The 22,958-nt window shown below is 57.4% G+C and overlaps 2 protein-coding genes and 1 long non-coding RNA gene across 3 annotated transcripts, besides 10 other annotated features; 1 reads left to right on the top strand and 2 right to left on the bottom strand.

Annotated features, from left to right (window-relative positions):
* Positions 1-290: 290 nt before the first annotated feature.
* Positions 291-1,935, bottom strand: CTXN1 (cortexin 1). Its single transcript, NM_206833.4, has 2 exons — positions 1,767-1,935; positions 291-1,358 (listed from the first exon to the last, which is right to left on the bottom strand). Exon 2 carries the CDS (start codon positions 1,336-1,338, stop codon positions 1,090-1,092), a length of 249 nt encoding a protein of 82 aa, NP_996664.1. The 5' UTR covers positions 1,339-1,358; positions 1,767-1,935; the 3' UTR covers positions 291-1,089.
* On the top strand, positions 1,205-2,610 carry LOC124904629 (uncharacterized). The gene is made up of 2 exons (XR_007067120.1): positions 1,205-1,636; positions 2,373-2,610. It is a non-coding gene; the product is annotated as an uncharacterized LOC124904629 (long non-coding RNA).
* Positions 1,230-1,319: a silencer, noted in NCBI's record as "silent region_10002". NCBI's record gives its function as "represses an Ori minimal core promoter by ATAC-STARR-seq in GM12878 lymphoblastoid cells {active_cell/tissue: GM12878}" and the evidence as "EXISTENCE:reporter gene assay evidence [ECO:0000049][PMID:35858748]".
* Positions 1,850-2,119: a silencer, noted in NCBI's record as "silent region_10003". NCBI's record gives its function as "represses an Ori minimal core promoter by ATAC-STARR-seq in GM12878 lymphoblastoid cells {active_cell/tissue: GM12878}" and the evidence as "EXISTENCE:reporter gene assay evidence [ECO:0000049][PMID:35858748]".
* TIMM44 (translocase of inner mitochondrial membrane 44) lies at positions 2,518-19,466 on the bottom strand. The gene is made up of 13 exons (NM_006351.4): positions 19,407-19,466; positions 16,902-16,997; positions 13,827-13,997; positions 10,865-10,945; positions 9,889-10,038; positions 9,664-9,803; positions 9,285-9,370; positions 8,640-8,732; positions 8,427-8,551; positions 6,938-6,988; positions 3,877-3,966; positions 3,457-3,567; positions 2,518-3,106 (listed from the first exon to the last, which is right to left on the bottom strand). The coding sequence occupies exons 1-13, from the start codon at positions 19,449-19,451 to the stop codon at positions 2,987-2,989; spliced, it is 1,359 nt and encodes a 452-aa protein (NP_006342.2). The 5' UTR covers positions 19,452-19,466; the 3' UTR covers positions 2,518-2,986.
* Positions 2,616-3,365: an enhancer, noted in NCBI's record as "H3K27ac-H3K4me1 hESC enhancer chr19:7991701-7992450 (GRCh37/hg19 assembly coordinates)". NCBI's record gives its function as "activates a minimal SCP1, AML or CMV promoter by ChIP-STARR-seq in primed H9 embryonic stem cells {active_cell/tissue: H9 hESC(primed)}" and the evidence as "EXISTENCE:reporter gene assay evidence [ECO:0000049][PMID:30033119]".
* Positions 5,144-5,438: a silencer, noted in NCBI's record as "tiled region #3551; HepG2 Repressive DNase matched - State 12:CtcfO". NCBI's record gives its function as "represses a minimal TATA promoter and a strong SV40 promoter by Sharpr-MPRA in HepG2 cells {active_cell/tissue: HepG2}" and the evidence as "EXISTENCE:reporter gene assay evidence [ECO:0000049][PMID:27701403]".
* Positions 18,487-19,030: an enhancer, noted in NCBI's record as "NANOG-H3K27ac-H3K4me1 hESC enhancer chr19:8007572-8008115 (GRCh37/hg19 assembly coordinates)". NCBI's record gives its function as "activates a minimal SCP1, AML or CMV promoter by ChIP-STARR-seq in naive H9 embryonic stem cells {active_cell/tissue: H9 hESC(naive)}" and the evidence as "EXISTENCE:reporter gene assay evidence [ECO:0000049][PMID:30033119]".
* Positions 19,031-19,573: an enhancer, noted in NCBI's record as "NANOG-H3K27ac-H3K4me1 hESC enhancer chr19:8008116-8008658 (GRCh37/hg19 assembly coordinates)". NCBI's record gives its function as "activates a minimal SCP1, AML or CMV promoter by ChIP-STARR-seq in naive H9 embryonic stem cells {active_cell/tissue: H9 hESC(naive)}" and the evidence as "EXISTENCE:reporter gene assay evidence [ECO:0000049][PMID:30033119]".
* Positions 19,200-19,569: an enhancer, noted in NCBI's record as "active region_13903". NCBI's record gives its function as "activates an Ori minimal core promoter by ATAC-STARR-seq in GM12878 lymphoblastoid cells {active_cell/tissue: GM12878}" and the evidence as "EXISTENCE:reporter gene assay evidence [ECO:0000049][PMID:35858748]".
* Positions 19,574-20,117: an enhancer, noted in NCBI's record as "NANOG-H3K27ac-H3K4me1 hESC enhancer chr19:8008659-8009202 (GRCh37/hg19 assembly coordinates)". NCBI's record gives its function as "activates a minimal SCP1, AML or CMV promoter by ChIP-STARR-seq in naive H9 embryonic stem cells {active_cell/tissue: H9 hESC(naive)}" and the evidence as "EXISTENCE:reporter gene assay evidence [ECO:0000049][PMID:30033119]".
* Positions 19,600-19,669: a silencer, noted in NCBI's record as "silent region_10004". NCBI's record gives its function as "represses an Ori minimal core promoter by ATAC-STARR-seq in GM12878 lymphoblastoid cells {active_cell/tissue: GM12878}" and the evidence as "EXISTENCE:reporter gene assay evidence [ECO:0000049][PMID:35858748]".
* Positions 20,118-20,660: an enhancer, noted in NCBI's record as "H3K27ac hESC enhancer chr19:8009203-8009745 (GRCh37/hg19 assembly coordinates)". NCBI's record gives its function as "activates a minimal SCP1, AML or CMV promoter by ChIP-STARR-seq in naive H9 embryonic stem cells {active_cell/tissue: H9 hESC(naive)}" and the evidence as "EXISTENCE:reporter gene assay evidence [ECO:0000049][PMID:30033119]".

Genomic DNA, 22,958 nt, shown 5'->3' on the forward strand with positions numbered 1-22,958 from the left:
GGGTTACACATCAGCCCCCCCCCCCAAAGCCGGTGAAAGGTGCTTGTGATCTTGGTGTCTTTGCAGCCCTGGGAAGCTTTAAAAACATGCAAAAGCCAGACCTGGGTTCCACTTCCAGCCCTACCAGACTCTAGCCATGTGACTGTGGGCAAGTCAGTCACTGGAGCTGCCTGGCCCTCGGTCTCCTGGCCTGTAGAATAGGGATGCTAACAGGGCCTGGCTCATTCTCACGATCCCGAAGAGGAGACAGGCTATAAACAGGAGGTGCCAACTCAGCACGCTACTTGGCATGCAGTAAGCGCTCAATAATAGCTTTTATTATCATGTTCGGCTCAGAGGCAGGGAGGAGTGGAACGGCATGGGAGGGCTGCGGGAGGCACGGCAGGGGGGTCAGGGGCAAGTGGCAGGAGGGCGGATGGGGGGCAGCGGTGGGCACCGGGGCAGGGCGCGCTGACCTGTCCTGGGGCCCGGGTTGGGGGCAGAAATGAGCCTGCCCACGCTGTCCCGCCACGGCAGGCGCCACGCATCCTCGACACAGCCGCCATGGCAGGCCTTCGGGCTCCGTCTCCGGGACAGGCGGTGCAGGGCAAATTGGTATGCAGCGTCCGCCCCGTGGGCCCGGGAGAGCCTGCCCCGCAGGGACCAGAGCCCAAGGACGGGCTCAACACTCAGTCAAGGTGGGGTTGACGACGGCCAGACAACAGGGGAGGGAGGAGGGACAAGGGGGTCCCCACTTCCAGGGACGCACAATAGCAGAGCCACTTACACGCTGGGGAGGGGGCGGTGCGGGGGTCCTCCTCCCGCCCGGGATTCAGAGTCGGGGGTGGGGGCCAGCCGGGCGGGTGAGATGCGCAGAGAGGAAGGGACAGGGCGGATAAAGGCACGAGGTGGGGCTCCGGCCAGGCCAGGAAGGGACATGGGAGGGGTCTCGAGGGGGAGGGGCTGGGCTTCTCCCAACTCCCTCCCCCTCTCCCCCGGGCTGGGGGCTCCGGGGCGGGATCCTGAGCGCAGTCCTGGCCCCGCGGCGCCCCCCGCCGGGCCGGCCCTCTGAGACCCCGGCGCAGGGCCGGCTAGGGGGCGCCGCGCCCCTCACACCAACGCGTAGTCGAACTGCCCGCGCTCGAGCGCCTCCTTGTGGTCGGTCCAGGACGAGGCGGGCATGCGGCTGTAGGGGTCGAGCAGGATGCGCACGCAGCGCACCATCAACAGCACCAGCACCACGAGCAGGCAGAGCACGAAGGCGAACACCGTGCGCTGCTCCGCGTCCAGGCCCGCGCCCACCGGGGGCCCCGTCGACGGCGGCAGGGGCTCCGGCGACAGCGTCCACGTCGCGCTCATGGCTCACATCGCCGCGCGCCCTGCGGAGGAGGGGACCCGCCCCGGGCGCCGGGGATGAGGCTGCGCCCTCCCTCCCGCGCCTCCTCCGCTTCGCCCCCTCCTGCCGCCGCCGCCGCCGCCTCCCTTAACGTGCCCGACCCCATCCCCCGCCCGCGCCTCGGTCCCCGGGCTACGCCCATGCCCGGCCCGCCGGATCGCCGCCACCACCACGCGGGGACCCAACTCTGGCCGTGCGCGCAGGTGGGGGCGCTGAGAGCCGGGAAACGGAGCCGCGCCCGGCCTGGGCCGCACACAACAGGTGCGAAAGCGCGGCCGCGGCCCGGGCGCGCGGCGTGGGGACGGTCCCCGCGGCCCCTGCCCCCGCTCCCTTTGTTCTCGGCGGCCTGGGACCCCCTCCCCCACCGCCCCCGCCCCGGCGCGCCCCTCACCCTGGCTTCGACCCGGACGGGGACCGACCGCCCGGCGGCCGCGCTCTCTCAGGGACCCGCGCCGGCTGCGCGTTCGGCCTCTCCCCGGCGGCGGCGGCGGCGGCCCGGGCTCCGGCTCAGCCCACCCCACCCGCCCCTGGAGCGGCGGAGACCGAGGCAGGCAAGCAGCGCGCGAGCCGGGCCGCCGCGGCTGTTCCTATGGCGACGGGGGCGGGGCCGCCGCGGGGGGCGGGGCTGCAGGGGGCGGAGGCTGCGCAGGGAGCGGCGCGCGAGCCAGCGACCCCGCCCGGGCCTGCGGGAGGACGGAACCCCAGCCCCGAGGACCCGCGAGCACCCACGACCTCGCCGGGGAGTGGGCAGCTGCCACTCCCACCTCCCCTGGCACTTCGGGCCCCCCAGCCTGCCCTGTGCCTGCATTCTCCTCCGCGATAGACCCCACTCGAGACTCCCTGTTTGTGGGGGGACCTCAGTGGCCCTAAAACACTCATATGGGCACTCAAGCTCCCCCGGCCCTGGGGACCTCAATTCTCAGAGAGCTCAGGCAGGTCACTGGGATGAGTAAGTCCCCCTAGTTTTGTCTGTCACTGGCCTCGTCTTCCAACTCAGGGTCCAGCCCTGGGCAAGGCGTCCACCCACTGCGGCTGCAGTTCCTCACTCGACCTTGACCGCCTCCCACAGCAGCCGCCTGCTCCCACCCCCACCATCGCCTCGGCCACTCCCGCGCCAGAGAAGACACTTCAGACTCCGTAGCTGCTCTTCTGCAATTCGGTGTTTTATTCTTTCCAAATCTCAGGCTTATGCACAAGATGGAAGAGCACTGTTAAAATTAAAAAATGGACCTAAAGTGGCTTGGCTGACGTGGCTAGCGGGCCACTGAGCCGCGGGTCCCGGGTCCCACCCTGCTGTGGGGGGAGTCCCTGGGCCCTGGGGCCTCTTGGCACTGTGTGACCTGTGTGCACCCCAGGTGACCAGGCGCCGGGACCCCTGCAGGGCAGAGCAACAGGGCAGGGGTTGGCCCTGCGGGGGAGTGTCTCCAGCTGCCGCGCACCCGCAACAGCCCGTTGTCCCCTCCCGGGCCAGCTGGTCTTGCAGCCGTCCTGGCAGAGCTGGGGGCAGAGCCCGCAGTCTTGTTCCCAGAGGTCTGGAGTTGCCGCAGGTGGTGTTGCGGTGCCTCTGTGCCTGATGACCCAGGCCGGGGCTACCTGGCTCCGGCACCACACTCAGAGAATCTGCTCGGTGCTGGAGGCCGAGATGTCCAGGAGCCGCCAGGCCGCGTAGGGGTTGAGCTCGTCCTGGTCTCGGCAGAGCGCCCACACGTACAGCATCCGCAGCACCTTGTCCTGCAGGGTGGGGTGGGAAGGGCACTGTTGAGAGGGTTGAGGTGACCCAGGCAGCTCTGGGGGGGGGCCAGGCTCTGTGGGGCAGGAGCCACCGGCAACTTCCCCAGGGGCTGGGAGCAGAGGCCAGCACAATTGCCTAGACTCAGGAACCACTCAGCCTTGGTAAAAACAGACAGGTCTGCTGGTCTCCGACCTCCCTCAACCCCAAACTCTGGCCCAGAGGTTTCTCCACATCCCCACCCAGTCCCAGAGCTTCAGGGCTCTGAGCTGGGGTCTCTGCCAGGTGGCCACACACAGATCTTGGGGACAGGCGGTGTCATGTGCCTGCCCCATCCCACTCCCTCACTCACCGGGTCACCCTCCACCACCTCGCCTTTGGGGTTCCTGACCACCATCACCAGCTGTGCCTGGAAGGTGATGATCAGCACCGGCCCCTGCTCCATCATCTTGCCCATGGCCAGCTGCAGAGGGGCCGAGAGGGGGGATGTGCCTCAGAGGACAGCCCGGCTGCTCCCCTGGAGGTGAAACCCCTGCGCCTAGGCCCTGCTAGGAGAAGGCTCCAGCACCAGGCCCAGCACCGGTCCCTCCCCGTGGGCCTTGCCTCTCAGGCCAGGACCAGGCCTCCCTCGAGACCCTCCCCTTGGACAAGCCCAAGACCTCTTGGATCAGCCCATGGCCCCCAGCCCCTGGCAAGGCCACCTCCTGGGCCTTGTCTGGGCCATAGTTCCCACCCCCGATGGTGGCCCGGGCCCCCACTGCGAGGTGCTTACGTCGACGTTGTCAATGTCTAGGATGCGAGAATGGAACTGGAGACCCAGTGCCTTGGCCTGCTGGATGGGGTGGGCCAGCTGGCTGTAAGTCTGCAATGAGAGGCCGACACGCCTGCGTGATGCCACCCAGGGTGGGCACCACGCCACACAGAGCTGCTGCCCACACACCCTGGCGCCCAGGTGCCCTGCCGCCAGCCAGCAATGGCAGAGGCCAAGAACCCAGGTCCAAGTGGGGAGGCAGGTGCCACCCACTTACTGGCCCAGATCACACGCTTCCCACTCCTGGGAACAACACTCTATCCAGATGACCCAATGAAAACAGGATTAATCAGCAAAGTGGGTGATTCTCTTGGAACAAAATCCCAAATCTACTCCCAGGGCTAAGCTGGCGGCCCCTTGGCTGATCTTTAATACTTCCATATTCGCCGCACTCTGAATCTTGGCCTGAGATCAAACGCCTCTTCTAGGATCTGTCCTCAGCCTGAGGCTGCCTCTGTCACTGACCAGCCCCCAGTGTCACCCTCAACCCCCTGCGCCTGTGCCAGGCACAGGAAGCAGCCCCCGAGACACGTTTTCGCTGGAGGTTTCTCTGGGCTTGGCATGAAACCATGAGAGAAAAGATGTTCTGATAGCATCTACTTTTTATGGAAATGACTGATCCGCGGAGGGGAGAGAAAAAAAAAACAGAGCCAATCCTACTTGTTCGGTTTCTTAAAGGTGACATTTTAAAAACACTTCTGTGGACGTGGCTGGAACTTCAGCTGTGTTTCCAGGGCACCAGCAGCTCCCTGGCAAAGCGAGTCAGCTGTGGCGTAATGGTCCCAAGGTAAAAACAAAACAAAAAACCAAAAAAAAAAAAAAAAAAAAAAAAATCCACATCGAAACTCATAAATGCCTGCTGGATTAGTCACCATGCAGGGGAGTATTTAAAAAGAAAATCTGACATCTTCTCCTCTGCTTTTTCCAAGTTGTTTATGAGCTGGGTGCAGAATAGAATTAGCCAAGAACGATTCTGGATCGCTTAATACGAAGAAGCCAGGGGAAAGAAACACACAGGTCGGGGAGCGAATAGGGTGAGATGAGGTGGCCTGAGGAGATGAGAGCTGGGAGCCCCACAGGGATGGACTCGGGCAGGGACAGGGAGGCTGCCAGGGATGGGGCAGACAGCTAGACCAGACCCCAGGTACGCGGTGCTGCTGGTGGCCCCCGAACCCCAAGCTTTGACTCTGAGAAGCAGCTGAGGCCTCATCAGGACACAGCTCCTTCCTGGTGTGGGAAGACTATCGATGTTTTGTTTGGATCTATGTTTCAGGATCATGTCGTGAGGACAGCTAGAGGCTCCCAGGGCCTGGGGAGGGGCACCCACTGCCGCAACCCCATCCGTGCCCCATAGGTGGCGGCCCCGGGTCACCGATGAAAGCTCCCCCAACTCTTCCAGGGGCTGTTTGGTTACCAGGGTTACCTCTGTGGGTTCCCTCTGGCCCGGGGCCAGCACTGCCCTGGTTTCTGTGATCACACTTCATTCTCACGACCCGTGGGAGGTGAGCACAGGGACTCTGCTCTGGCCTGGGAAGTGGGATGGGTGACACCTTCAAACCCCACTTGACTCCCAGCCCCCCCCCAGTCATGTGGGAGACCCACACTGTCCCTGACCCCCGGCCCCAGCCTGCACCCCAGGCCACTGCAGCCACCTGAAATAGGGCAGTCGGCCCCCAGACACCTCATTTTACTTCATGGCTGCAACCACCTCTCCTGGGACTCTCCTTCCCTAAATTATTATTTCTTTTTTTTTAAGACAGTCTCGCTCTGTTGCCCAGGCTGGAGTGCAGTGGTGCAATCTCGGCTCACTGCAGCCTCCGCCTCCTGGGTTCTAGCGATTCTCCTGCCTCAGCCTCCCGAGTAGCTGGGATTACAGGCGCCCACCACCAGGCCTGGCTAATTTTTGTATTTTTAGTAGAGACAGGGTTTCACCATGTTGGCCAGACTGGTCTCGAACTCCTGACCTCAGGTGATCCGCCCGCCTCAGCCTCCCAAGGTGCTGGGATGACAGGCGTTAGCCACCGTGCCCGACCTATTTCCTTAGTGACAGTGTCTTGATCTGTCACCCAGGCTGGAGTGCTGTGCTGCGATGACTCACTGCAGCCTTGACCTCGTGAGCTCAAGTGATCCTCCCACCTCAGCCTCCCTAATAGCTGGGACAACAGGTGCCTGCCTCCATGCTTGGCTCTTTTTTTTTTTTTTTTTTTTTTGGAGACAGAATCTTGCTCTGTTGCCCAGGCTGAAGTGCAGTGGCGCGACCTCAGCTCACTGTAACCTCCACCTCCCGGATTTAAGCAATTCTACTGCCTCAGCCTCCCCAGTAGCTGGGATTACAGACATGCACCAGCATGCCTGGCTAACTTTTTATTTTAGTAGAGATGGGGTTTCACCATGTTGCCCAGGCTGGTCTCGAACTCTTGAGCTCAGGCAATCGCCTGCCTTGGCATCCCAAAGTGCTGGGATTACAGGCATGAGCCACCGCACCCTGCCACTTGGCTCATTTTAAATGTTTTTGTAGAGACGGGATCTTGCTATGTTTCCCAGGCTAGTCTTGAATGCTTGGGCTCAAGCAATCTCCCGCCTTGGGCTGCTGGGATTGAAAGCATAGGCCACCGTGCCCAGACCTAACCAAAATTATTTTAAGATTGGAGGGAAAAAAAAGGCCCAGTAAAATTGGCAGCTTTGTGATCTCTCACAGGCCCAGGGGACACCCCCAACCAGCCATCTCTTAGACACCAGCCCAGAGAAGGATTCTCCCTAACAAAGTTTACAGTCTGGGAGCAAAGGACTGGCGGGTGACCCGGTGTCCAGCCTGAGAGCCCAGATGTGTCACATGCTGAGGAATGGAAAGGGGCAGGGGGGGATGTCAGGCTCTCGGAGGGTGAGACGTGAGGATTCCCCCACCGGGAGCCCAGGTCCTGCCTGTTGGGAGCTACCCCAACGGAGCCACCGAAGTGGAACTTCTCCATGGTGATTTTTTAGGCCTTAAAAAAAAAAAAAGAAAAAGAAAGGAAGTACTCACAGCTTCATAGCACCAGTCTTTGAGAATGTCAAGCTCTCCAGAAATCATGGCCTAAAAAGGAAGGGAAAATAAGCACCAGAACGAGAGTGGGCTTTTCAGGCAGCAGGCGAGGTCCTGGGAACATTCTCCAGTGGTGCGGGGTGGGGAGTTTCCTCAGACACCCCCGGCTGCCACCTGTGGGGCGCGGGTGGAGCTGTGGCACTGGGTGTCCCCCCCAGGCCCGTCCCTGCTGGTGTCAGTGCCTGGCTCTGGCCTAGGCACAGGCGGAGGGCGGCCTGCGGGCGACCACCCAGGAGGCACCCCACAGGGGGACCCCCCTGGAACCTGGTGGAGGAAGAGAAAGGTGGCTGGGGACCCAGCTTTCAGCCTGGTCAGGAATCCAAGCCAGGGAGATGAGGACCCAACTCCGGCTCCCGCAGTGAGCCCATGTCCTCTGTCCCCCCAGGGGACCACATTTCGGACTGCAAGGCCCACCATGGGACCGGCTGCCTCCTAACTGCTGGGGGCAGCGAGAGGGAGGGGTGGGCTGCAGGGGGCGTGCCTGGGCTGGGAGCTGCTTCCACAGGATCCTGGAGCCTGGGCCGGATCCGATGAGGGGGAGGGAGGTGCCTGGAGCGGGGAGAAGAGCGGGAAGGAGCCGGATGCTGGTGGTGAAAGCTGTGAGCGGCAGGGGGCGGGTGGCCAGAACACTTGGCACCCATCACCCATCCCGGAAGGCACTGCGGTGCTCAGGCTGCTGTTTTGGGGCATGGCGCCCATCCGCACCACCTCCCAGCCCTGCCCGAAGTGGCGGGAAGGATACGGGAAACTGGAGGAGGAAGAGGACGTTGGGCGGAGGCCGGCGGGGCCAAGGATGGAGAGTCCCATGAAGGGCCTTCCAGAGGCCTGGCCCGACTGGGCCGAAGGTGTCCAGGCTCCTCCTGCATCCTGGGGGCTGCAGAGAGGCAGAGGCAGCAGGGAAGACAAGAGGCCACCAACCTCAGGGAGAGGCTTATAGGGGGCAGGCTGCAGCATGACCTTGAGCAAGATACCCTCATCTATAAGCCCAACAAGGGTCTGGTTGCCAGGGACAGCACCGTGAGGGAACCTCACGGCTGCAGCTCTGGGTCAGACGTGGCCTGGGGCCAGCTCTGATGTCTGAAGACAGACGCCCACTTCTCCCAAGGGGTGAGGGGCTCCAGGCACCTGAGACAATCCCTAGCCTCCAGCAGCTGCTCCCAGCAACCTCAAAGGAACAACAGCCTCAGGCAGGAGGAGTGAGGGAAACAGACCTGGAGGTACCGGAGGTGCCGGTAAGGCCCAGGAAGGGCTTCGGGCACAGCTCATGGGGCAGCTGCAGCCGGGCAGGAGCCCGTGTGCAACCAGCCTCCTCAGAAAACAGCCTCGGCAGCAGAGTTCCCTGGCAGCACCCAGGGTGCCGGCTGCGGCGGGGGAGGTGGTGGAGCCAGGACCTGCCGCCTGGGAGGGGTCCTGGGGGTGTGGCACCCACCTCCAGGACATTGGGGATGATGTCGTTCTCGCACTGTTTCAGAAACCGGTCCTTGTCAAAGGCCGGGTCCACCCGGAGGATCTCCGTGAGCACCTCCGACATCTCTGTCTTGGAGAACAGGCCCCCTGCAGGGAGCAGAGCCGGGAGTTCGGGGGGAAGGCCGGGGACCCCGCCCCACCACCAGCCTGCGAGGTCCAGGGATGACTCACTCACCCAGCAAGTCGGTGACCTTGTCCGTAAGGGCCCGGGATGCCCGGATGAACGCGTTGTCGCTTTCGTCATACTTCATCTTCATCTCGAAGAACCCTGTGGAAGATGGGGTAGGTGCTGGAGAAGGGGCCCCTTCCAGAAACACAACCCTCCCTCACAGCTTCTAGAGGCTCCCTGTGACCCCTGCGGGATCCACCCTGACACGGGTGGGGTCAGGGAGGGGACGGCTGTGGACCTGCATCCTCATCTGTGCTTGGGGACCGCTGCCTGCCCACCTACCTGGCCAGGCGCAGAGGCCCCTCAGCTGCGGCCCTAATGGGGCTGTGTAAGTTATGGGCCGCCACCCCACTGGCTGTTGCTTTCACTACAAAGGAAACACAGGCCTCTAGCAGTCCTCACAGGACAAGGGACAGGGGCCTGCGGCTCGTTTCGGGGCCCTGACTGTGCTTATGAGGGAGCACCTGGCTTCTGGCGGCAGAATCTACAGCCCCACCATCATGTGACCGCAAAGAAGTGACCGGCCCACTCTGACCCCGATCTCCTCCTCTGCAAAACGGGGCTGTCTTGTGCCCAATGCAGGGGGATCACCTTGCGGTCCACCAACTGCCCGGGACACAGTCACCTGCCCTCCAAGACACCTTCACTCACGGTTAAACACCACGTTGTTCTCCTTGAAGTCCTTCCACTGCTGGTACCACTTGGAGTCCTTGTGCAGCACGACCCCCAGGGCCTCCCTGGGGAAGAGGGTGGGCCCTGGGGTGAGCGGCGGCGCCAGGGCCACCCTGTGCCCTCCTGCGGCTGCAGGCAGGGGGCAGTACAGGACAGCAGGCAGCTGAGACCTCAAACCTAGGGGCTCTGAGGACCCCGCCCTCACCTCTCACCCTCAAATTCGAGGGAGCCGGGAACCTTGGGCAGAAGGCAAACTCAAGAAACGGACTCAGGAGGGAACCATTGGTGGGCTCCCGAAATGGACAGCAGTGAAAGCTGCCCAAAATGGGGGCAGCGAGGGCCACGGGCTGGTACCTACTCGTTTGGCTCAAACACTTTCTCCTCCTTGAACTTATCTCCCGCAAACTCCGTTCTCTTCCGGAGTCGCTGGGGCCTCCGGTAGGGCCCGGTCTGTCCCAGGACGCTGTCGTCAATTTCCTTCTTCACGGACTCCACCCCCTGCGAGGGAGGCACAGCGGGGCTGGGGTGGGTGTCTGGGTTCGGCCGCCCCAGGCTGCATGCCCTAGCCCAGGACTGGGCTCACCTGGGAGAGGGCTCTGAAGGCCGCTGTCCTGCCCAGCTTCTCCCCGCCTTTGGATACCGACTCGGCCGACTGCTTGGCCGTCTTGGCTGCTTCCTCCACGCCCTCCTTGATTTTCCGGCCGAGATCACTTTTACTGACTTCGTGAAGGCTCTACTGAGACAGACACAGAGAGGGGGCGTTGGCACCGGCCCTGGCGGCCGGGGGGCGGGGCAGGAGGAATGAATTCCTGCCGGAGAGAAGGGCGGATCTGGTTCCCCGAGGCCGGCAGAGGCCTTCTGTGCTCCTGTGGTACGCGGCACCCCCAGAGCCATGAGCACAACGGCACCCCCAGAGCCACGAGCACACCGCCACCCCCAGAGCCACGAGCACACCGGCACCCCCAGAGCCATGAGCACACCGGCACCCCCAGAGCCATGAGCACACCGCCACGGCTTCCGGGATGCTGGCCCTGGGCTCTGGGTGAGACGCTGGGTCTGCTGGCCCCTTTCCAAAATGGGCAGGAGTCCTCTGGAGACCCGGGAACTGCCTGGCAGCAAGGATTCCCAAGGAGGGGACCCCGGGGAAAGAACGGCGGTGAGGGCGCCCCATGCTGCGCAAAGCTGGACAGAACAGACAACCGAGGAGAGCCGCAGCACCCCAGGAATCCTGCCTCCCGCCTCTACCCTCGGGAGGGGGTGGAAGCGGCCCCTCTCCTCCTATTTTTAGGCAGGAAAAACATTTTCATGTTCTCCTCGAGTCCTGGCTAGCAGCACTTACTGCTGCCGACTCCCTGGGTCAACGGTCATGCAAGGTTGCCAGTCTGACCTCACCCTGCATGTGCCGGGAACTCCTGAAACCTTCCCGAGGGTGGCAGCACGCCCCATGCCACCCACTGCTGCCAAGCCACCCCCACCCAGGAGCCGACTCTTCCTCCAGCCTCCAGCGGCCAGGGGACTTTGATGGCCCCAGCGGCTCCAGGCGGGCGTGGAACTGTTACCTCCTTCACGGTGCCCGTCAGCTCCCCAAGCTTCTTCCGTAGCACCTCGCTCGTCCGCACGGTTTCTGACTCGATGGTTTTCTAGGTAAAGAGCGCTGTGTCCTTTTTTTTTTTTTTTTTTTTGAGACAATGTCTCCGTTGCCGAGGCTGGAGTACAGTGGCACGCTCTCGGCTCACTGCAACTTCCTCCTGCCAGATTCAAGCGATTTTCCTGCCCCAGCCTCCCGAGTAGCTGGGACTACAGGGCCCACCACCATGCCTGGCTAATTTTTGTATTTTCAGTAGAGACAGGGTTTTACCACGTTGGCCAGGCTGGTCTCAAACTTCTGACCTCAAGTGATCCACCCGCCTCGGCCTCCCAAAGTGCTGGGATTATAGGTGTGAGCCACTGTGCCTGGCCAACCGTTGTGTCTTTAAGTCTGTATGTTCTGACACGGCAGTGACATTTCTCTTACAGCCAAAGGTCCAAGAAGCATCTTCTCCGCAGCCCCTCCCTCCCCGCACCTGCCAGCATGTGCTGCCTCCAGGGCCCCCGGCTGCCCACATGGCTTGGATTGAGGGTCTCAGCAGCGGTGAGCTCCTTGCTCAGAAGGCCGGCAGACTCGGGTCCCCGCTTGGCAGCTACCTCCTGAGAACAGGAGGCCCAGCCTTCACCTTTCACCGGGTGGTAGGAGGTGGCCTTGCCTGTCATCACTGTGCCCCTCATCCAGCCTCCAGCCACCACAGCTTGGTCTTATGTCTCCCGCTCCATCCATCCCACTCCAAACTCAGCCTGCTATGTCTTCAGATGACCCCTGCATTAATGATAAAGAGGGGCTGGGCATGTGAGCTGTAGTCCCAGCTCTTTGGGAAGCTGAGATGGGAGGATCGCTTGAGCCCAGAGAGTTCGAGACCAGCACAGGCAACATGGCGAGACCCTGTCTCTAGAAATATAAAAAAATTAGCCAGGCGTGGTATCCCATGCCTTTAGTCACAGCTACTCAGGAGGCTGAGGTGGGAGAATCACCTGAACATGGGAAGGTCAAAACTGCAGTGAGCTGTGATCACACCACTGCACTCCAGCCAGGGTGACAGAGCAAGACCCTGTCTCAAAAAACCAAACTAGGCTGGGCACGGTGGCTCATGCCTGTAATCCCAGCACTCTGGGAGGCCAAGGCGGATGGATCACCTGAGGTCAGGAGTTCAACACCAGCCTGGCCAAAGTGATGAAACCCCGTCTCCACTAAAAATACAAAAATTAGCCTGGCGTGGTGGTGGGCGCCTATAATTCCAGCTATTTGGAAGGCTGAGGCAGGAGAATCGCTTGAACCCAGGGAGGCGGAGGTTGCAGTGAGCCGAGATCGCACCATTGCACTCCAGCCTGGCTGACAGAGCAAGACTCCATCTCAAAGGAGAAAAACAAAAAACGAACAAACAAAAAAACACAAATGAAACCAAACCAAACCAAAATGCAAGGGACCCGTGGCAGGTGCCTGCATCTCTGAGGCTCAGCTGCTCATTGGTAAAATGGGGACACTGTAACTGCCTCGCAGGGCCCTTACAAATAAAGGAATGCAGAGCCATTCCCAGAAGCCAGGGCTTGGCAGCTGCTCAAGAAGAGAAGTGACAATTAATAATGACAGGCTGGGAGCAGTGGCTCACACCTGTAATCCCAGCACTTTGGGAAGCTGAGACGGGCAGATCACTTGAGGCCAGGAGTTTGAGACCAGCCTGGCCAACATGGTGAAACCCCGTCTCTATAAAAAGATATATAGGGCTGGGCGCACTGGCTCACACCTGTAATCTCAGCACTTTGGAAGGCCAAGGCAGGTGGATCATTTGAGGTCAGGAGTTCAAGGCCAGCCTGGCCAACATGGTGAAACCCTGTCTTTACTAAAAATACAAAAATTAGCTGGGCAGTAGTGGTGTGTGTCTGTAATCCCAGCTACTCGGGAGGCTGAGGCAGGAGAATCGCTTGAGCCTAGGAGGCAGAGGTTGTGTTGAGCCAAAATCGTACCACTGCACTCCAGCCTGGGCAATGGAGTAAGACTCTGCTTCAAAAAACAACAACAACAACAACAACAAATCAGCTGGGTGTGGTGGCGGGCGCCTGTAATCCCAGCTATCCGGGAGGCTGAGGCAGGAGAATCAGGAGCTGGAGGTTGCAGTGAGCCAAGGTCACGCCACTGCACTCCAGCCTGGATGACAGAGCAAGACTCCATCTCATAAAATAAAATAAAATAAAATAAAATACCAGCACCATCACCCAGTTTCCACCAGGCTCCACTCAGAGGGCTACAGCTGGGAGCTCTCAGGAGCGCTGCATCCCATAGCTGGTGTGCATGCGTTGCCTGGGGGCCTGTGAAGATGCGGGCGCTGGCCTGGCAGTTTGGGAGGGTGTGAGCCTCTGCACTGCTCATCCACTCCCAGGAGGAGCCACTGCTGCTGGTCTGGGGACCACGCTTCAAGCTGCACAGAACGCTGCATGGTCTCATGGCAGAACCCAGAGGCCTGGAGACCCGCACCTGTCCCCTGGCTCCCTCTCATTAGTGCATCAGAGCAGTGACCTCACTTCCTCACGAGCCACCCTGCCCCCAACCGTCCAGCCCTGAGCTCCTCTGGCTGTCCCTGGCCTGGAGAAACCCTGGCCCTGGAAACAAACATGTCAACCAAGAAAGGTAAGAAGCAAAGGGGCCCAACGCGGTGGCTCACGCCTGTAATCCCAGCACTTTGGAAGGCTGAGGCGGGCGGATCACTTGAGGTCAGGAGTTCGAGACCAGCCTGGCCAACATGGTGAAACCTCTTCACTACTAAAAATACAAAAATTAGCTGGGCGTGGTGGTGCGCGCCTGTAAGCCCAGCTACTCAGGAGGCTGAGGCAGGGGAATCACTTGAACCTGGGAGGTGGAGGTTGCAGTGAGCCGAGATCGCACCACTACTCTCCAGCCTGGGTGAGGGAAAAAAAAGCAGCAAAGAAACTCACGTATTTCCTTCTGGCCTCCTGGAGCACGTCTGATTCTTCTAGCCTTCTGGCCTCGTCACGGAATTTTTTTATACTTTCTTTCATTTCTTTGTTTTTGGCTAATTCTTGTTTGACATTATCTAGCAAGCCGGACAGAAAGCCTTTTCTGTTTCCAGAAGAATATGATTTGGACTAGAAAGAATGTACAAGAAAAAAAATTTAAAGAACATAGTAGAACATAGAATGAAATGCCCCACAGAGGGACTCAGGGATTTTTTTAAATGTTCTCTTTTCGGTTGATATACATTTAATGATGATTAGCTATCTCTTTTATAATAATCATAAAAAACAAAGAAACAGCAGGTGATAAAAGTGTGGTATATCCAGACAACAGAATATTATTCAGTGCTGAAAAAAAAATGAGCTCTCAGCCACTTTAGGAGGCTGAGGAGGGAGGATTGCTTGAGGTCATGAGTTTTAAGACCAACCTGGGCAACACAGCACCCTATTTAAAAAACAGGCTGGGCGCGGTGGTTCACGCCTGTAATCCCAGTACTTTGGGAGGCTGAGGCGGGCAGATCACCTGAGGTCAGGAGTTCGAGACCAGCCTGGCCAAAATGGTGAAACCTCATCTCTACTAAAAATGCAAAAGTTAGCTGCGCATGGTGGTGTGTGCCTTTAGTCCCAGCTCCTCAGAAGGCTGAGGCACAAGAATTGCTTGAACCCAGGAGGAAGAGGCTGCAGTGAGCCAAGATTATGCCACAGCACTCCAGTCTGGGTGACAGAGCGAGACTCCATCTCAAATAAAATAAAATAAAATAATTTAAAAAACAAGCAAGAAATATGCTCTCAAGCTGTGAAAAGACACAGAGGAACCTTAAATGTATATTGCACTAAGTGAAAGAAGCCAATCTGAAAAGGCTACATACTGTCTGATTCCAACTATAGACCGTTCTGGAAAAGGCAAAACTAAGGGGACAGTAAAAGATCAGTGGTTGCCAGGGGTTTGGTAGGAAGAGGGTGAGATGAGTAGGGGGGAACACAGAAAAATGTTAGGGCAGTGAAACTACTCTTATGATACTGTAATCACAGAGAATGTACACCACCAAGAGGGAACCGGAAGGTAAACCATGCATTTATTAATAATAATGTATCAACATCCTGTCAATTGTGACAGATGCTCCACACTAATGCAGGACGTGAAGAATAGAAAACTGTGTGCCAGATGGGAGAGGAGGGGCATGGCAACTCTTTGGACATTCTGTTGGATTTTTCTGTAAACCTAAAACTGCTCAAAAGATAAAGCCTTGTGAAAGCAAAACAAGGCCGGGCGCAGTGGCTCCTGCCTGTAATCTCAGCACTTTGGGAGGCCAAGGTGGGTGGATCACTTGAGGTCAGGAGTTCCAGACCAGCCTGACCAACATAGTGAAACCCCCGTCTCTACTAAAAATACAAAAATTAGCTGGGCGTGGTGGTGGGTGCCTGTAATGCCAGCTACTCAGGAGGCTGAGGCAGGAGAATCACTTGAACCCAGGAGCCGGAGGTTGCAGTGAGCCAAGATTGTGCCACTGCACTCCAGCCTGGGTGATGGAATGAGACTCCATCTCAAAAAAAAAAAAAAAAAAGCAGGCTGGACACAGTGGCTCATATCTGTAATCCTAGCACTTTGGGAGACCGAGGTGGGCGGATCACTTGAGGCCAGGAGTCCGAGACAAGCCTGGCCAACATGGTGAAACCTTGTCTCTACTAAAAATACAAAAATTAGCCAGGTGTGGCGGCGCCTGCCTGTAGTCCCAGCTACTGAGGCAGAGGCAGGAGAACTGCTTGAACTCGGGAGGTGGAGGTTGCAGTGAGCGGTATCTCGCCCCTGCACTCCAGCCTGGGCGACAGAGTGAGACTCTGTTTCAAAAAAACAACAGAGAAACAGTTTAATGAATGATCATACAATAATCCAATCAGGCGGAAGGGGCCGCCTGTGGTCAACTTTTCCACAGCTGTGTTGGGTATACCAGCTCCAGGTGGGATCCCCCTCCCTGGCTCCTGTCAAGCTACAAGAGAAAGCTGCATCCAGCCTGGTGCTCAGGCCCCGTGGAGTCACACACCTGTGGTCCCAGCTACTCAGAAGGCTGAGGTGGGAGGATCGCTTAAGCCCAGGAGTTCAAGGCTGCAGTGAGCCGTGATAGTGCCACTGCACCCCAGCCTGGGCCACAGAGTGAGACCCTATCTTAAAAAAAAAAAAAAGCCCAGTGCTGCTCCCCAGGACAGGTGGCCAGGCCTCCTGTCAGCAGGCTGCAGTCCCATTCAGATGCCACCCTGGCCAGCCTTTCTCCAGGGGAAACCCAGGTTCTAAGTAAAATCATCCAGGACCACACAACCTTATCGCAGCCCTACCAGAGACTCTTGGGCTACAAACCATGGGAGTGAGTGTGTGGCGGGGGACTAGACAAGAAAGGGAAAGAGTCACAGGTCCTGTCCCACACCCACGATGGCCCCAGGACAGGACTGGAGAGGTAGGTAGCTGCCTCCAAGGAGGCAGCTGAGCTGAGGCTCTGGGCGCAGAGAGAGAGGGAGACAGAATGTACGCGCTGCCCGAATGTACAGGTCTGGGGAAGGGAGTCAGGTTTTGGGCTTCTGTCCTCACGATGCTGAGACACCAACAGAAGCACAGTTGAAGAGGAATGACCAGGAGAAACTGAGGTCTGGTTGTGACAAGGTGACTCTGTACCAATGATCAAAGGGCTATCTTCTAGAAAAGGAAACAGCTATGCTTGGTGAGGTACCCACGGGCAGAGGTCACAGGGAAGTAGAATTCAGTTCAATACAGGGGTCTCTTCCAAGCATTAGAGCCAACATAAAGGGCTATTCTGACAGCACCTTATCCCCTTACGACATCAAGCAAGAGGCAGGTCAAGTGTTTCTGGGACCGAGAAGGCCAGGCACACTGGGATCTGTCATTCTGAAAGCCCCGGACACAGAAGGCCCACCACCGAGATGGTACGAGCCACCTCTACAGCCCCACCCCTCCCTCCTGCCAATGGGATCTGAATTTTCGGGCCTCCCCTGTGTCTGCTGGCCCGAGCATCCTGAGTCACTCACCAGTGGCAGCTCTCCGCCCGGCCGGCGCATCTGATAGGTCGACCCATGGGGTAGGTTGTGGCTGGAAAGAAATTGGATTCCACTGCCGAGGCATCTCTAATTGGGGGGAGAGAAGAGAAAGATCCATTCTAACAAGAGGTTGACTGAGAAGTAAGCAGACCACACACAAAACAGCAGGGTCACCTGCAACTCACTGGCCATTTTTTTTTTTTTTTTGAGACGGAGTCTCAGGCTAGAGTGCAGTGCTGCGATCTCAGCTCCCTGCAACCTATGCCTCCTGGGTTCAAGCGATTCTCCTGCCTCAGTCTCCCGAGTAGCTGGAATTACAGGTATGCGCCATCACATCCGGCTAATATTTGTATTTTTAGGAGAGAAGCGGTTTTGCCATGTTGGCCAGGCTGGTCTCGAACTCCTGACCTCAGGTGATCCACCCCTCCCCCGGTTTTCCAAAGTGCTGGGATTACAGGCATGAGCCACTGCACCTGGCCTCACTGGCCAATTTGTATCTTATGCCTGATGCATGCCGGGCACTCTGTAATCTTCCCAAAGTCTGAGAAGCAAGCAGAAGCTGGTGGAAAGAGAAAATGCTGTGTCTGTACCTCCAGGGCCTACATCTATCCTCGTGCCCCTGAAACTGGGGGAAAACGGACAGGTCCCAGGAAATGCCAACCCATGGGGGGAAGAAGGCTAAATGTACAATTTAATCCCTTAGTCTGAAAGTAGGCACTCTAAGCTTCTATGCTAGTGGCAAGCAGTCTTCTCTTGCGAGCCCACCCCATTTCTGCCAGCCTCCAAAGATGAGAGAACTGGATTTTTCAGACACAAACATCGATAATGTGTTGCCCCAGGGACAACTCTGGAATAAACCTACAATGTCCTCCTCAAGGGTTGAGCTATAAACAGAGTAATTTAGGGGAGTCGCTCTGGGCAAAGACTGGGCTGATCTCATGTAAAAGGCACTTGCTGGCTGGGCGCGGTGGCTCACGCCAGTAATCCCAACACGTTGGGAGGCTGAGGTGGGAGGATCACCCGGTCAGGAGTTCGAGATCAGCCTGGCCAACATGGTGAAATCCCGTCTCTACCAAAAATACAAAAATTAGCCGGGCGTGGTGGCACACACCTGTAGTCCCACACACCTGTAGTATTGCTTAAACCCGGGAGGTGGAGGGTGCAGTGAGCCGAGATCTTGCCTTAAGTTCTGTGCAGGCACTGAGCTGGTGGCTCATGCCTGTAATCCCGATACTTTGGGAGGCTGAGGCGGAAGGATCGTTTGAGCTCAGGAGTTTGAGACCAGCCTGGGCAACATAGCTAGACCCTGCCTCCATAAAAAATTGGGGGAAAAAAAAAAAGCTCTGTGCAGGTCCTGTTCAGCTCGGCACCCTGTCACCCAGCACAGAACCTGGCGTGTTGATGTCAAAAGACCAGGTACAACTTCTCCACCATTTCCACATTTCCTGGGCCGTTTTTCTCTCTGTTCTCTGCCTCCTACCTCTGAGAACCCTATGCAACATCCCAAACTTACACAGGTGCCTACTATCTCCTGTATTTACTTGAGGATAACTTTTTTTTTTTTTTTTGAGACGGAGTCTCCCTCTGTTGCCCAGGCTGGAGTAAAGTGGCAGGATCTCGGCTCACTGCAATCTCCGCCTGCCGGGTTCAAGTGATTCTCCTGCCTCAGCCTCCCAAGTAGTTGGGATTACAGGAGCGCGCCACCATGCCCGGCTAATTTTTTTGTATTTTTAGTACAGATGGGGTTTTAGTAGAGATGGGATTTCACCATGTGGGCCAGTGGATCTCGAACTCCTGACCTCAGGTGATCCACCTGAGGCTGAGGCAGGAGAATCGCTTGAACCCGGAGGCAGAAGGAGGCAGAAGTTGCAGTGAGCCGAGATCGCGCCATTGCACTCCAGACTGGGCGACAAGAGCGAAACTCTGTCTCAAAAAAAAAAAAAAAAGAGAAAAAAGAAAAAACGAAGAGCACGAGCAATATGAAGTACTACTTTCTGAGTGCGCCTTACACGTCTTGACTGCCACTGCCCTGTGGACCCAAGAGCCTGCTAGGGCGCGAACCACCTCTCGCACATCCACAATGAACGTTAGAAGAAACGAGACAAGAAATGCTCTCGGTAGAGAACTTGGCATTTAACCGCGAGCTGTGAATTTCACGTTTTTTTGCCTTCCCCTCTACTTTTTTCCACGGGACGCCGCCGCCCCGGCTACCATTCTCTCTCCTGTATACGTGGAGTCTGATCAGAGGGCGAAGGGTGATCAGCTCCCTCCCAGGTCCCGCGCATCGCCGCCCCCTGCCCGGTAAGCTCGGTCCCCGCCCTCAGGCCACGCTCTGTGCCCCCTGTCCTGGCCTCTGCTACCCAAAGATCTAACCCCAAGCTTTCTAAGGAGCCCAAGCAAGGGTCGCGAAGGCCAAGGGTCTGAGAAGAAAGCCTTGGTGGCCGAAGGCCCAGAAGACCCCTAAGCTCGCCCTGCCAGCGCCGCACCGCCGCTCACCCGTGGACAGCGGCACCAGCCACTCCGCAGGGCCGCCGCCGCCATGTTGGAGAATCGTGTGACCTTCTCGCGGCGCGGCCCGGTTGCGTCATCCGCCGCTTCGGCCTAGAGCCGCGCAAGCCTGAGAAAAGCCGCTCCAGGAGCGGGGTTTCGGGTAGGGAGAGCCCTCCGATTGGGTCCGTCATAGGGCGGGGCATTAAAAGGGTAGGGAATGCCTAGAGAGCTTGACCTCTGATAGGGCAGTGTTTTGGAAGGACGGGGCCCGTGACTGGATGTGGCCCGGGGGAGGGCACTCCTGGGAGGGTCAGATCTGTGATTGGGCGCGACTACGAGGGGGCGGAGCCCAGGGGCGTGTATTCCGTCACTTGCGGTGATTCGGCTACAGAACGCGCCGGGCGCTGGTGGCAGGTGGTACAGGCACGTGGATCCACCGACCACAAGGACGGATTCGATTGGATTCTGATTGACCGGCGGACCAGCTCCAGAGTAATTGTCTATGGCTGCCCCTGCAATGACTGATTGATTGACAATGGCTGAGAGACCAGCAAGTGAGTCGCTCCGAGAAAGCGAAGGAGCCCACTCTTGTGCGGCGCTTTGGGAAGACGCCTGTTGGTTTTGACCCCGAATAAGAAGAGGAAGCTGAGAGCGGGCTGACTGTGGTCCAGTCCTACTTCGATTCAGTGTGAACTGACACTCTGATCTGAAGACGCTCAGGCCTTTGTCATTTCAGCACCCCAGATGCTATTTTCCATTCGAAGAATGCCGCCACCAGGTGGCGGTATTTTAACATGGCCATGCAATCCGGGTATGAGGAGGAGGGTTGGTCCCCTGGGAGAGCTAATGTATGTTGCTGTTGCTGTTTGTCTTATTGGATCCTTTTTTTTTTTTATAGAGCCAGAGGCTTGCTCTGTCACCCAGGCTAGAGTGCAGTGTCGTAATCTAGCTCACTGCAGCCTCCAATTCCCAAGCTCAAGCGATCCTCCTGCCTCAGCCTCTGAGTCACTGGGATTACAGGCGTGAGCTACCGCACCCGGTCTTTTTGCATTACTAACCTGTGATATGGGTTTATGGGACTTCATTATTTCAAAGGGAGGCAGCTTGGCCCCGGAGAGCATGCATTCCTGGCTTCTGCGATGGATAGACTTGTGTTCTCCATCTCAGGAGCTCCCCCTCAAGGTGGGGGTAAGAGATGAGGGCTTCCACTCTGGCTTTGTTCGAGATGTCTTGATGCCAAGAGGAGCAAACTAGTTAAGCGGTTGGTGTACACAGGTGTGTTGCTAAGAATAAGGTCTGGGCTAGAAATATGGATTCTTAGTTGTGGTTGAAAGTACGGAGTTTGGCCGGGCGCGGTGGCTCATGCCTATAATCCCAGCACTTTGGGACACTGAGGCGGGAGGATCTCTCCAGCCCAAGAGTTTGAGACCAGCCTGGGCAACATAGTGAAGACCTCTTCTTTACAACAAATACAAAACATTAGCTTGGCGTGGTAGCATGTGCTTGTAGTCCCAGCTACTCAGGAGGCTGAGATGGGAGGATCGTTGAGGCCCGGGAAGTTAAGGCTGTAGTGAGCCGTGATCGTGCCACTACACTACACTACACTACACTACACTACCTGGGCAACAGAGAGAGACCTTGTGTCAAAAAAAAAGAAGAAGAAAGAAAGAGAGAGAGAGAAAGGAAAGAAAGAAAACTACAGCATTGGACACTCAGAGGCAGTGTGTCATATAAGCATGTCAAAGACCCAAAGATAAAGTGGAGATAGAAGACTCCTTTAAGCCAGGATCCGTGGCTCAGTCCTATTATCCCAGCAACTCAGGAGCCTGAGGCAGGAGCATCATTTGAGCCCAGGAGTTACAGACCAGTCTGGGCAACATAACGAGACCCTATCTCTACAAAAATAAAAAAATAAGCCAAGCATGGTGTCTCTCGCCTGGAATTCCAGCTACTTAGGAGGCTGAGGTGGGAGGATCTCTTGAGCCCATTAGTTAGAGGCTGCAGTGAGCTATGATCACCCACTGCACTCCACCCTGGGTGACAGCATGAGACCTCCATCTCTTTTTTTGTTGTTTTGAGACAGAGTCTCACTCTGTCGCCCAGGCTGGAGTGCAGTGGCACGATCTTGGCTCACTGCAAGCTCCGCCTCCCAGGTTCACACCATTCTCCTGCCTTAGCCTCCCGAGTAGCTGGGACTACATGTGCCTGCCACCACACCCAGCTAATTTTTTGTATTTTTAGTAGAGACAGGGTTTCACCATGTTAGCCAGGATGGACTCGATTTCCTGACCTCGTGATCCGCTTGCCTCGGCCTCCCAAAGTGCTGGGATTACAGGCGTGAGCCACCACACCCGGCCTTTTTTTTTTTGAGATGGAGTTTTACTCTTGTTGCGCAGGCTGGAGTGCAATGGCGCGATCTTGGCTCACCGCAGCCTCTGCTTCCCAGGTTCAAGTGATTCTCCTGCCTCAGCCTCCCAAGTAGCTGGGATTACAGGCATGTGCCACCACACCCAGCTAATTTTGTGTTCTTAGTAGAGACGGGGTTTCTCCATATTGGTCAGGCTGGTCTCGAACTCCTGAACCTCAGGTGATCCTCCCACCTCAGCCTCCCAAAATGCTGGGATTACAGGCATGAGCCACCATGCCCCCTCGAGACCTCCATCTCTAAAAAACAATTTTTTGTTGTTGTCGTTGTTTTGAGACTGAGTCTCAGTCTGTCACCCAGGCTGGAGTGCAGTGGCGTGATCTCGGCTCACTGCAAGCTCCACCTCCCAGGTTCATGGCATTCTCCTGCCTCAGCCTCCCGAGTAGCTGGGACTACAGGCGCCCGCCACCATACCCGGATAATTTTTGTATTTTTAGTAGAGACGGGGTTTCACCATCTTGGCCGTGCTAGTCTCGAGTCCTGACCTCGTGATCCACCTGCCTTGGCCTCCCAAATTGCTGGGATTACAGGCGTGTGCCACTGCGCTCAGCACTGTGGGAGGCCGAGATGGGCAAATCATGAGGTCAGGGGATCAAGACCATCCTGGCTAACATGGTGAACCCCCATCTCTACTAAAAATACAAAAAATTAGCCGGGCGTGGTGGCAAGTGCCTGTAGTCCCAACTACTTGGGAAGCTGAGGCAGGAGAATCGCTTGGACCCAAGAGGTGGAGGTTACAGTGAGCTGAGATCACACCACTGCACTCCAGCCTGGGCGACAGAGCAAGACTCCATCAAAAAAAAAAAAAAAAAGGAAGACAATCTGGAGGAACTTGGAGAAGGCAGATGGAAACAGCAGAGGCGAGTGCTGCACAGTTCAGGCAAGGCAAGGACAGAAATGTAGCCACCGCCATTGCATTTTGCAATATGGAGGTCATTGGTGAGATAAGCAAGAGGGGTTTTGGGTGAGTGGTGGGCCTGGGAGCCAGATTTCAGTGAGTGGAGATGGTTTTACAGAGGCATGCTGGGGCCAGCTTGCACTGACTCGCAAGAGCCAGCCGGCACATCTTCAAGAATTCAAAGCCTCTTGTTAAACATGGCCAATATGTAAACAATTAATTGTATAAACTTAAG

This window comes from Homo sapiens, chromosome 19 (assembly GCF_000001405.40).
Source record: "Homo sapiens chromosome 19, GRCh38.p14 Primary Assembly".
In the NCBI taxonomy this organism is placed as follows: domain Eukaryota; kingdom Metazoa; phylum Chordata; class Mammalia; order Primates; family Hominidae; genus Homo; species Homo sapiens.

What these genes read in the sequence shown, in the direction of transcription:
- CTXN1 (NM_206833.4), bottom strand. Translation starts at nt 1,338, where the DNA reads ATGAGCGCGACGTGGACGCTGTCGCCGGAGCCCCTGCCGCCGTCGACG.
- TIMM44 (NM_006351.4), bottom strand. Translation starts at nt 19,451, where the DNA reads ATGGCGGCGGCGGCCCTGCGGAGTGGCTGGTGCCGCTGTCCACGG. An exon ending in CGGGCGGAGAGCTGCCACTG is followed by an intron (nt 13,998 to 16,901) that starts GTGAGTGACTCA and finishes CATTCTTTCTAG; the next exon opens with TCCAAATCATATTCTTCTGG. An exon ending in TGACGGGCACCGTGAAGGAG is followed by an intron (nt 10,039 to 10,864) that starts GTAACAGTTCCA and finishes CTGTCTCAGTAG; the next exon opens with AGCCTTCACGAAGTCAGTAA.